Source organism: Homo sapiens, chromosome 2 (genome assembly GCF_000001405.40).
Source record: "Homo sapiens chromosome 2, GRCh38.p14 Primary Assembly".
Lineage (NCBI taxonomy): Eukaryota > Metazoa > Chordata > Mammalia > Primates > Hominidae > Homo > Homo sapiens.
This window is the reverse complement of record NC_000002.12, coordinates 70,954,040-70,965,867: the sequence shown is the minus strand read 5'-3', so window position 1 is coordinate 70,965,867 and position 11,828 is coordinate 70,954,040. Positions and strand designations below refer to the sequence as shown.

Below are 11,828 nucleotides of genomic sequence, written 5' to 3'. Positions count from 1 at the left end.
AGAGACAGAGTCTCGCTATGTTGCCCAGGCTGAAGTGCAGTGGCTATTCCCAGGAACGGTTCTGCTATTGATCAGCACTGGAGTTATGACCTGTTTGGTTTCAGACCTGGACTTGTTCACCCCTCCTTAGGGAACCTAATGGCCCCCGTCTCCGGGAGGTCACCATATTGATGCCCAACTTAGTGTGGACACCATATCAGCATAGCGCACGACAGACCAGAACTCCTGAGCTCAAGCGATCCTCCCGTCTCAGCCTCCAGAGTAGCTGGGACAACAGTCTCAGCATCCGCGTTGGGCTTTTTTTTTTTTTTTTTTTTTTAAATAGGGAGAATAGTTTAATGAACTCCGTGTGCTCATAACCCCAGCCCCCAGCTTCAACAATTATCTTTTCCTTTCATTTTTATCTTTCTTTTGCCAATCTTGTTTTCAACGAAGGTAAATTCATCTCAGTTACTTTTTATTTTTATTTTGTGGGCTTTTAACATAAAAATACAGATGCTCCCGTCAGAGTAAGGCATCGCAACCTTCAGTTCTTCCGCAGCACCGGGAGTCGAGGGGGAGGCATGGAGCGCGGGAAAAGGAATCGAGCGAGGGAAAGGGATGGAGCGTGCGGCGCCCCCACCACCTCGGAGCCAGCGGAGGGCGGAGGGCGGCGCAGAAGCCGCTGGTTGGGGTGGCGAGGGAGGGGAGACCCGGGAGCCGAGGGTAGGTTCCCTGCCGGTGTTGGGGTGCCACGGCGCGCGGGGCTAGAGCGCAGTGTCAGGCGCGAGGTCCTGCAGCGCCCCCTCGCGGGAATAGAACTCGTCGATCACGGCCTGCGGAATGCGCTTCAGCATCTCCTTGGGGAAGATGCGCAGCAGCTTCCAGCCCAGGTCCAGCGACTCGAACACCGAGCGGTTCTCGTAGGGGCCTAGGGACAGAGCGGGAGGGAGTGTTAGGAATGTGTGTGGGGCGGAAGGAGGGTGAAGAGGTTACTGGCTCCACACCAGCGACGCGCCTTACCCTGATTGATGAAGTTCTTCTCAAACTTCTGCAGGAATTCCAGGTAGAGCAGGTCCTCAGAGGTGAGCGCCTCCTCCCCAACTACTGCCTTCATGGCCTGCACGTCCTTCCCGATGGCATAGCAGGCGTACTGGGGGAGGGGCAAGGCGTCGGTGGCCGCTGCGGGCTTACCACGGGAGTCCAGTAGCCCCCAACCTGGCCACACTGGGACCCCGTTCGGAAAGGAATTTTGCCAGGAGAAAAGCTTGTCCTTCAGATGGGGCTCAGGCCTTCAGCTTCGGAAACTAGAGGACCTACCAGCCCCCGGACCCTCTTCTCCTTACCAGCTGGTTGGAGACATCTCCATGGTCCTTTCTTGTCATGCCTTCCCCAATGGCTGACTTCATCAGCCGCGACAGGGAAGGGAGCACGTTGATGGGGGGGTAGATCTGAGGGAGAAGAAAAAGGGAGTGGTGGACAGCAGGACTCAAGCTTTGCTCCCCCTGTCCCCAAATTGTTCTCAGGAGAAGCTCCTCACTTATCCTACATTCCGAGGGGTCAACAGCCACACCCACCCTCTCTTATCTCCCACAAATTCTAGGGCTTGGGCATCAGCTGTCTTATATGTGGCCCTAGACAGAACAGTGGAGGGGGAAGATGACATGGCATTAGTTAATAAAAGGCTCAGTATTTCAAAACTTTTGATAATGTGGACAAAAACCACTTTGAAGCTTAATGGTTAATAGCTGCAAAAAAAAAAAAAAAAAAAAAATACCTGCCAAGCAAAGAGAAAAACGTCATAGAGGTCACCTTTAACCTACACACAGGACAGATGTGTGTTAGTTAGCCGTTGTTTTCTGCCCACCGAAGCAAATAACTGGAAAGGGAAGGCAAATAGTATTGACTATCTGCCAGATGCTTTCTATATGCCAACTTATTTTTATCCTCCACAATGCGTCTGGGTGATATATTTGATTATTCCCATTTTATGGATGAGGAAACCTAGGATCCAAGAGATGAAATTATCTTCTCAAGATCCCAGAGCCAGGTAAACCAGATTCTGCTCAGGCCTGTCTTCTGTCTGTGAACCATGCAGTCTTCCCTGTGGCTGTCTCCTGTTTGGGGTTCGCTTTGGCTGGCCCCTCCTAATTCATGCCTGGGGGCAGTGAAACATCTGTTCCTCAGTGTTTCTCTGGGCTGAGAGCAGGAAGTGGGTAGGGACAGGGCAGTACCTGTCTGTTGTGAAGCTGTCTGTCCACGTAGATCTGTCCCTCTGTGATGAAGCCCGTCAAGTCTGGGATAGGGTGGGTGATATCTACAAGAAAACTCACTGGCCTCAGTGTGGGTGGGGGCCCAGGTCTCCAACCACTCAGGGCCACCTGGGGTCTGTTTCCCTCATGGGAGTGATAGGGATGTGTGGGGGGCATGGATGGTGGAGGAAAGGGCAGTGTCTATCTCGATGGAGGAAAAGCGCTGCTGCACATCTGTGCAAAGCAACGTGGGCCCTTTAAGTATCTGGTTGGAAAAGGGAGGACAGGGGAGCTCTGGAGGGTAGTGGGCTGTGAGGAGGCTACCGTCGTTGGGCATGGTGAGGATGGGGATCTGTGTGATGGATCCTCCCCGACCCTCCACGCGGCCCGCCCGCTCGTAGATGGTGGCCAGGTCTGTGTACATATATCCAGGAAACCCTCGGCGCCCAGGCACCTCCTCTCTAGCAGCAGAGACCTGCAATATCCATGGGCACTGGGGTAAGAAAGGGGATGAGAGGCTGAAGCTAGGAAGGGTGGGTGGGAGGTTCAGTGACCCTGTGAGAAATGGAGTGGGGGGCAGGGGAGGAATGGCCAGGCTGAGACCAAGCCCTGGAACTCATGGGAGTGGGGCAGGCTTGGGTGGACCAGCTCCCCTCTATTTGCAGGGTGACCGTCTGGGGTGTCAGGCTTAGGGAGGGGTAGGGAGGAATCTGACACCCCTTGCTAGCCAGCTTACCTCCCGCAAGGCCTCTGCATAGGAACTCATGTCCGTCAGTATGACCAGCACATGCTTCTCACACTGGTAGGCAAGGAATTCAGCAGTGGTCAGCGCCAGGCGCGGGGTGATGATCCGCTCGATCCTGGAGGTGTAGCCAGGTGTTTAGAGAGCCTGGAGGCCTGGGCTAATGCACCACATAGCCTGGGGGCTGAGCGCAAGGTGAACTGGGAAGCTGGTGTTGTGCATAGTGGCAGAGGAATGGATAAGATGAGCCCTTGCCCCCATCCCCTAGGCCAGGGCCATGGTTCCTGGGAGTAGGCAGACTCCAACACACACCTCGCCTACTGTCCAAGGTAGGAAAGGGGACAGGGGCTGAGGCCAGGAGGCAAGTTGGGTGGGAAAAGCCAGGCAGGGCCAGGAGTGCCTGATGAAGATGAGAGTGGCTTTTGTCCCCTGTGGACCGAAGGGGAAGGACTCTGGCATATCACACTGTAGATGAGTTGGGGGCACCTGCTTTAGCTCTGTCTTATCCTAGGGCACCCACACTTGGGTCAGCTGGAGCACCCTCACTGCATGTCCTCTGGATGGTTTCGTCCCTCTCACTGCTCCTCTCACTGTCCCTTTCACTGCTCAAAGCACACCTAATGTGCTCGTCCCTATGCTTGCCAGCCCTATGAACCCTTCCCACGTGAAGTGCTCCTGAATACCGTACCTCAGCTTCAGACACTCTCAGTTCCCAGCTCTGGAGCTGTGGCTCTTCCCCTTGGGGATGTCACCAAAACCTCCAGAATTCTATTATCTGCTTTCTGGAGTACCCTCCAGAAATACCCAGGATAGTTTATTAGAATTGTTTTCATCCACCTGACCCCCAGATTTAAACTCCCATTTTCTACACTTTTATAATAGCAGTTTGATCTTCTTGGGGTGACTTTGTGGATGTGACACAGAGATGAGGAGCCCTGAGTTGGAATGGTGGCTGGACATGGGTTGTGGGAAGAGCAGAGGGCACAGGCAGCAGACAGAGTCATGTTCTGGCTCCCTCTGCCTGTGAGTTTTCCTAGCCCTTCCCAGGCCTCAGTTTCCCTATCTACACAATGAGGGTTGTTCTCCCAGCTCTGGCGTATGGCTGTAGTTCTGGGATGCCCTGGAGCCCTGGTACTGTAGGTCTTGGAAGGGGACGGGGTCTGCCCACCTGAGGGCAGTTTGGGCATCAGGGAAAGCTCACGTGGGGTCATTGGCCAAGTTCAGGAAGAGGCAGACGTTCCCCATGGTTCCATTCTGCTCAAAGTCAGACTTGAAGAATCTGGCTGTCTCCATGTTCACCTGGATACACAGCAGGGTGGGCTGGAGGTAGGGCCCTGTGGCCTGAGGGCAAGGCCTGGCCCCTCCCAGGTGTCCTCAGGAAAGCCTGTGGACTGACCAGCTACCAGTCGCTGGGGGTGAAGACACCAAGGCCATGGGGTGACCCCGGGGCTGGAAAGGGCAGGCACTGGGTTTGCTGCCCCAGTCCTCATAGGGCCTTGTCAGATCCCCCTGGAGAGGCTGAGACTTCTTTAAGTCCAGCTCTGCTCAGTGCCATCCCTGCCCCTCCTGTCGCCAGCTGCTGCTCTGCCCACCTCCCTGGCCTCCCAGGCCTCCCGTTCCTGAAGCTATCTTTTTTCCCCCAATCCCCTGGCTTCCCCTCCTTCAGGCCACCCAGGGCCCATCCTACCACTGTGATTGCCTTTGGGACACCCTGAGGGACACATGGCCGTGGTCACTGCTCCCATCCTCACCCCTCCTGGCTGGCCGGGACACTGATGGCTTCCCCATCAGATCAGGTCATGCCAGGGGCTGAGGGAGACAGGCTGCCTGCTCACAGCCTCCAGAACTTGCCAGTCTACTAAGTCTCCTCACCCCCATGGCTGCAAAGACGATGGCGAAGTTGTCGTCATGGTAATCCAGCACAGCCTTGGACTTCTTCACCAGCCCCGCCTGGCGGCAGATCTGAGCGGCAATCTAGGGCAGAGTGGATTGGGCAGGAGGACGTCAGAGTCGGAGCTGACCCCTGTCCCACTGAGCACCACTGGCTCATGGCCTTTGGTGGGAGGGATCCAAGCCCAGAGAGGTGAGGGGGCTGCCCCAGGTGCTAGTCTTTCTTGGGGTGGGGGGTGGGAGTTATTGTGGGCTGCTAGTGGGCTGGGGGTGCCTGACACGAGAGGCAGGACAGAGTAACAGTCCCAAAGAGCAACTGCCTCTTTATGGGTCTGGGTACCTTGGCATAGGGCAGCTCCATACCCCTCCACAGCCTGCTGGGGGCGCTATTTGGACACAGAGTTGCCCTGGGCCTGTAGTCTGTGGGCCTCCAAGACACCATGTCCAGAGCTGGGAAGGAAGGGTCACAGTAGGGTGGGGGCACTTATGCCCTCTGATCACTCAGGCCATTTTGAGTGATCAGGGTGCTGGGTGGCTGGAGGAGCATCTAGAGACCTTGTCACACCAGCTGCTCTGAGAGGAAGCGGCTGTTCACTGTTGGTGGTTGAGAGAAGCAGGAGCGGGTGAGTAAAGATGAGTGCAGGGATGGTGGTAGGGGCTGTGAGCTCCCCCAAGCAGGACTTTCTACTCTGGGAGCTCCCCATGGGCTGCCTCATTTGGGGCAGCCTGAAGATTGGACCTGGAGGAAATCTTGTGCAGTCCTGAGTCCCTGAGCTGCCCAGGGACAGCTGCCAGTCTCGATGCTGGCGACCCCAGCCCTGCCAGCCCCTGCCTGCTTGGCACAGGAGCTGTCCTCACTGGTCCAGCAGCCCCAGCCTCTGCTCTGTCCCTCCCCCAGCCATGCCTGCTGGCCCTGCAGGCCTCACCTCATTGTGGGGGAGCCCGGCTGCTGAGAAGATGGGGATCTTCTGGCCGCGGGCAATGCTGTTCATGACGTCAATAGGAGAAATGCCCGTCTGAATCATCTCCTCGGGGTAGATGCGGGAGTGCGGGTTGATGGGCTGGCCTGGGAGAGGGCGATCACAGAGCCATGCTCAGGGGTTCAAACCCTTCCCTGCTCTCCTCGACACTGACCCCAGACTCCAGAGCCGCCCTGTTTGACGGAACTTTCTGTGATGATAGAAACGTGCTCTGGCCGTGCTGCCTGATGTAGCCCTAGATACAAATGGCTATTGAGCACATGACGTGTGACTCTGAAATGGGACTTTCTTTCTGTTTGAATTAGTTTAAATTTAAATAGCCACAGGCCCAGTGCTACCTTGGACAGAGCTGCCCTTGTGCTTTGGAAGTGGCAGGCAGGTGGAAACTCAGGCTGAGGCTTCAGGGCCCAAGAGGGCAGAGCCCTCATCACCACCTCCAGATACTAGTGCAGGGTTCAGAGGGCCTGCGGGTGACTCAGCCTCCTGTCTGAGCAGATGAGTCTTCTGTGCTCTGCCACTGACTTTCTGTGTGGCGTAGGGCAAGCCACGGGCTCCCACAGGCCTCCCAGTGTGTCCTCAGTAAACAGATGGGATAGGGTTTGAGGCCTGGGGAAGGTGCCCACTTGAATGGACGAGAGCCGGCAGAGCACCGCAGCCCATTCTCAGGATTGTGGACAGGAAGCCAAAGGCAGGGGCATGATGGCCTTCGGGCAGGCGTGGAACACTGCCCAATGATGATGGCATTTTACAGGGGATGGACATGGAGTGCTGACGGCAGTGTTGGGGTTCAGTGGAAGATTTGGGGATAGAGAGGCCTTTGCTGCTCTCCCATCACATCTGATCTGCTTGTGAGTCTGGGCAGAACTTCCAAGAGTGGGGAAGGTGTTAGGGCTGGGTCCCGAAGCCATCCAGAACCTCCAGTCACTCACCATTGATATCCAGAAAGTCCTCCGCCATGACCACTGGCCCCTTGTCAATGGGCTTGCCGGAGCCATTGAAAACCCGACCTGAGGGTGGACGAGGAGTGTTGCAGGGTGCTCAGGCTAGCCCTGTGTCCCTCACTACTGTCTACCCTCCACACCACCACCAGCTCCCACCCACTCCCCACAGGAGTGCCCTGTATCCCCCTCCCCGGCAGCCCACAGGTAACCCAGAGAGCCAGCTACAAGGACTGTCCTGTGAGAGTCTTCCTTCCTCTCCTGGAAACCTTTACAGGCAAGGCCTTGGCCCAGGACCATGACTCTAATGGGGGATTCCAGGACTAGAGAGAGGAGAGGGCCAGGCCAGGTCTTGGGAGAGAATTAGGGGATATTCAAGGCTTAGCAGTCCCTTTCAGCCTGGCTCCAAATAGGTGGCTACCTACTGTGTCTCTAGTTTATTGAACCCACCTTCCTCATTTATTGAACACCTGTATGTCAGACCCTGAGCTGGGGTCAGGAATCAGAGAGAAGACATACCCCAGACCTCAAAGAGCCCACCAGAGAGACAGGCAGGAAGTAAACAGGAAGTGACAGTGTAGTGTGCTGAGGGTTTGGTCAGAGAAGCTGGGCTGGGAGGGCAGAGGAGCACCCCCACCCCTGCCCCTCCCTGTCCCTCACCCAGCATGTCCTCTGACACCGGAGTTCGTAGGATGTCCCCTGTAAATTCGCAAGTGGTCTTCCTGGCATCGATCCCTGATGTCCCTTCAAACACCTGTGGGAACAAGAGGGAGTTTCTCCACTAAGGGGCCTGCTGGAGGGAATGGGGCTACCCATTCTGGGCACTTTCTGTGCTCTCAGGGAAATAGACCATTTCCTGCCTTCAGAGTTTGTAGATAGTGTGGGAACTTTATGGGTTAATTCATTGATTTAACTAGCCAATGTCCCATTGACCCCACTCACCTGAACAATCGCCTTGGTGCCAGCCACCTCAAGCACCTGCCCGCTCCTCTGAGTCCCATCTGGGAGGGTGAAGTGGACGATCTCCGCATACTGGGCAAACTGGCAGGAGGGGAGAGCAGCCACGTGACAGTGAGACTGGAGGCAAAGTCCCTTCTCCTCCTCCGGCCCTCCCTGACCCAGTCCCAAACTGTTCTCTCCCCTCTAGTGTCCAGACACTTGTGGAAATGAACTCAAGGGGCTGGGAAGTGAAAGTTTGAATTCTGTTTGGGAGGCAGTTGCACCCACTTCAGAGTTGCAAGACCAGGTTACAGCTGAAACTCTGAAGCTTAGTAGCTGCCTGACCTTGTGGAAGTTACTTTACGATTTCAGTAACTCATTAAATACGTAAGTCATAAGTAATGAGGTTTAGTTTCCTCGTCTTTAAAATGTGGATAATAATAACACCTACTTCCCACGGCTGCTGCAGGGAGGAAATGAGATAACATATGCAGATCCATTAGCATGGTGCCTGGCACTTTGTAAAACCTCAATAAAGATGTAATAATGACTGGGCTGCCTCGGGATCCTGGACAGCATATCTGTTTCTGCCTCTGTGGACTAGGGGTAAACACACTCGCAAAGTGCTTCCCTCTGCTCAGGCGTCCTTCGATACCAGTGGCATGGGACTAGAATTGACTCACGCAGTCCTTCCAGGGATCAAGGATTTTAAAAATCAGGCTAATATCCAGAATATATACAGAACTCAGGCTGGGTGTGGTGGCTCATGCCTGTAATCCCAGCAATTTGGGAGGCCGAGGTGGGCGGATCACTTGAGATCAGGAGTTTGAGACCAGCCTGGGCAACATGGTGAAACCCCGTTTCTACTGAAAATGCTATATATATATATATATATATTGCCAGGTGTGGTGGTGCACACCTGTAGTCCCAGCTACTTGGAAGGATGAGGCAGGAGAATCACTGAACCCAGGAGGCAGAGGTTGCAGTGAGCCGACATCACGCCACTGCACTCCAGCCTGGGTGATAGAGTGAGACTCCATCCAAAAAAAAAAAAAAAAAAGAAGAAGAACTTTTAAACCATAATAATCAAAAGGATTTGATCAAAGGATTTGAAAAAACATTTCTACAAAGACGACATACAAATGGCCAATAGCCACAAGATAAGATACTCAACATCAATAGTTATTAGGGAAACGAAAATCAAAACCACAATGAGATAGATGCCACTTCACACACTCTAGGATGGCTATAATAAAAAAGATAGGCCAGGCAAGGTGGTTCATGCCTGTAATCCCAGCACTTTGGGAGGCTGAGGCATGTGGATCACATAAGGAGTTTGAGATCAGCCTGGGGAACATGGTGAAACCCTGTCTCTACAAAAATACAAAAATTAGCCAGGCATGGTGGCGGGCACCTGCTTGGGAGGCTGAGGCAGGAGAATCCCTTGAGCCAGGAAGGCAGAGGTTGCAGTGAGCCAAGATCATGCAACTGTACTCCAGCCTGGCCAACAGAGAAAGACTCCGTCTCAAAAAAATAAAATAAAATAATAATAACAAGTGTTGAGGATGTGAAGAAATTTGAATGCTCATACAGTGCTGGGAGGAATAGAAAATAGTGCAGCCACTTTGGAAAGCAGTCTGGCAATATTCATAATAGCCAAAAGTGAAAATAACTCAATGTCCATCAACTGATGAATGGATAAACAAAATATGATGTATTCATACAATAGAATATCATTCAGCATTAAAAAGGAAGGGACTGCCCTGGAACCCATGGGGGCAGGCAGCCGGGTCAGGGGGCAGCCCTGGAATGGGGCTATGGCAGTACATGGGGACCCGGCTATGGTGGCTGTGGGGCTAATGAAAAACTTCTCAAGTTCCTTGGGAAGCAAAGGAGGATTTCATAAGAACAAAATGGATGGAGAGGAGAAAACCTATGGTGGCTATGAAGTCCCTGATGCCATGTATGTCAAATTGATATCATCCAATGGTCATGAATGTATTGTAAAAAGAGAACAGGCATCAACACCAGGCACAATAAAAACTATGTTGAATGGCCCAGATCAGTTTGCTGAGAACAAAACCAATGAGGTCAATTTTAGAGAGATTCCTTCACATGTGCTAGTAAAAGTATGCTTGTATTTTGCGAACAAGTTTCACTACAGTAACAGCTCCACCAAGATTCCCGAATTCCCAATAGCACCCGAAATTGTGTTAGAACTGCTGCTGGCTGCCAGCTTCCTAGATTGTGAAAAAAAAAATTATAATAAACTGTTAACTCTTTTCAGTAGTTAATACCCATAATTCAGTTAGTAACTTTTTTCATATATAGTGTGTTGCCTGTATGCAGTTGAATTATATGAAGTTCACTGCAAAGCAGATTTGTTTTTTTGCCTAGCAGAGTTGAAATTTGTTTGCTACATCAACAAATTAAGGACATTTTCACGAATTGAGAAATAAACAAATATGCCAATTCATTAAAAAAAAGAAGCACTGATAGATGCCGCAACATGAATGAACCTTGAAAATATTATGCTAAGTGAAAAAAGTCAGGCACAGCAGGCCACATATTACACAGTTCTATTAATAGAAAATGTCCAGAATAGGCAATTCCATAAAGACAGAAAGTAGATTAGTTGGTGCTCAGGGGCTGGGAGAGGGAGGACTGGAGTGAGGACTAATGGGCATGAGGTTTCTTTTTGAGGTGATGACAATGTTTTGGAATTTTATTATGATGATGTTTGCATAACTGTGAATATACTAAAAGCTACTGAATTAACAGTATGTGAGTTATATTTCAATTTTTATAACACATCAGGGTCCCAGATACTCAGGTAGCTGAGAAAGGAAGATCACTTGAGCCCAGGAGGTCGAACTTGCAATGAGCCATGATCATGCCACTGCATGCCACTGCGTGATCATGTCCCACGTCAGCCTGGGTGACAGAGTGAAACCCTATCTCAGAAAACCAAACCAAACCAAACCAAAAACCAAACCAACAAACCATCAGGCTGTTCCTCCAGGACCACAGGCAGCACATGGGCAGGTAGAGCTTTGCCCCGGGGAATCCCTGAGCTCTGCTGTCTGTGCACGCTCTGGGAGCCACCAAGTCCCAGTCTTTACCCACAGCTAGAGGAGGTCACAGACTTGGCCTGGGAAGCTGGGCTAGCAGAGCACACCATCCCCATTGACACTCATCGTCAGCTGTCATCAGCACCAAGAGATCTAAGCCCCATACCTGCACCTTCTTCCCGGAAAAAGTCCTGGAGCAAACGCATTGCATCCCCTAGGCTCCCTCACCTCACTTCCCAGGTCGCTGATTTACCAGGGAGTAAGCCATAATCATAATCCAACTAAAATTAATGGGGCCAGGCACAGTGGCTCACGCCTGTAATCCCAGCACTTTGGGAGGCTGAGGTGAGAGGATCACTTGAACCTAGGAGGTTGAGATCAGCCTGGGCAACACAGCGAGACCCATCTCTATGAAAAACAAAACCAAACCAAACAAAAACCCAAAACAACAAACAAACAAAATATTGATGGTAAAAAGACAACACTTTCCTCCCAAATTCCTAATATTCTGAGAAATTAAAGCACGCTTCTGAATTACTCCTTGTCATTAGAGGCAATCAAAACTGAAATAACAGATTATCTGGAAAAGAATGAGGAGGTCATGATTTTGTGCCATTACCTATGAAAGATATAAAGCTGTGCCATATTCTCTGACCATAAAAGTAAGTTAGAAATCAATAACAACAGCAAAAAAATGGTTAGAAATACCTCTTACATTTGGAAAGAAAAGCATTCTAGCTATAGAAGCATTTATAATCAGAACTAGAAAACATTTCGCTCCCATAATAGTGAAAAGCTGTATGTCAATATATGTGTGATGCATTCAAAGCTTTAAATGATTATATTAGATAAGAAAAATGTTGAAGAAGCTAAAAGTATGCAATGTGAGAAGTCAGAAAAAAGAACAGCATTAAAACCCCAAAGAAAGTAGAGGAAATAAGAGGAGAAATTATTAAAACAGAAAACAAATATAGAATAGAGAAGACCAACAAAGCCAATTGGTTTTTTGAAAAGCTGAATAAAGTAGACAAATTGCT

At 51.4% G+C, this 11,828-nt stretch overlaps 1 protein-coding gene and 2 pseudogenes across 2 annotated transcripts in view, besides 1 other annotated feature; 1 reads left to right on the top strand and 2 right to left on the bottom strand.

The window, feature by feature from the left end:
• On the bottom strand, positions 1-284 carry RN7SL160P (RNA, 7SL, cytoplasmic 160, pseudogene; annotated as a pseudogene).
• ATP6V1B1 (ATPase H+ transporting V1 subunit B1) overlaps positions 437-11,828 on the bottom strand; it is a 29,532-nt gene continuing 18,140 nt past the window's right edge. For both annotated transcript variants that reach the window (NM_001692.4, XM_011532907.3), the window contains 12 exons: positions 7,724-7,822; positions 7,442-7,535; positions 6,773-6,850; positions 5,790-5,929; positions 4,846-4,947; positions 4,175-4,272; positions 2,968-3,091; positions 2,556-2,706; positions 2,214-2,296; positions 1,326-1,430; positions 1,003-1,132; positions 437-910 (listed from right to left, as the gene is read on the bottom strand). In NM_001692.4, coding sequence (NP_001683.2) covers positions 747-910; positions 1,003-1,132; positions 1,326-1,430; positions 2,214-2,296; positions 2,556-2,706; positions 2,968-3,091; positions 4,175-4,272; positions 4,846-4,947; positions 5,790-5,929; positions 6,773-6,850; positions 7,442-7,535; positions 7,724-7,822 — 1,368 coding nt within the window. In that variant the 3' untranslated portion in view covers positions 437-746. The remainder of the gene's footprint in view (positions 911-1,002; positions 1,133-1,325; positions 1,431-2,213; positions 2,297-2,555; positions 2,707-2,967; positions 3,092-4,174; positions 4,273-4,845; positions 4,948-5,789; positions 5,930-6,772; positions 6,851-7,441; positions 7,536-7,723; positions 7,823-11,828) is intronic.
• Positions 593-702: a silencer, noted in NCBI's record as "silent region_11614". NCBI's record gives its function as "represses an Ori minimal core promoter by ATAC-STARR-seq in GM12878 lymphoblastoid cells {active_cell/tissue: GM12878}" and the evidence as "EXISTENCE:reporter gene assay evidence [ECO:0000049][PMID:35858748]".
• On the top strand, positions 9,477-10,197 carry ELOCP21 (elongin C pseudogene 21; annotated as a pseudogene).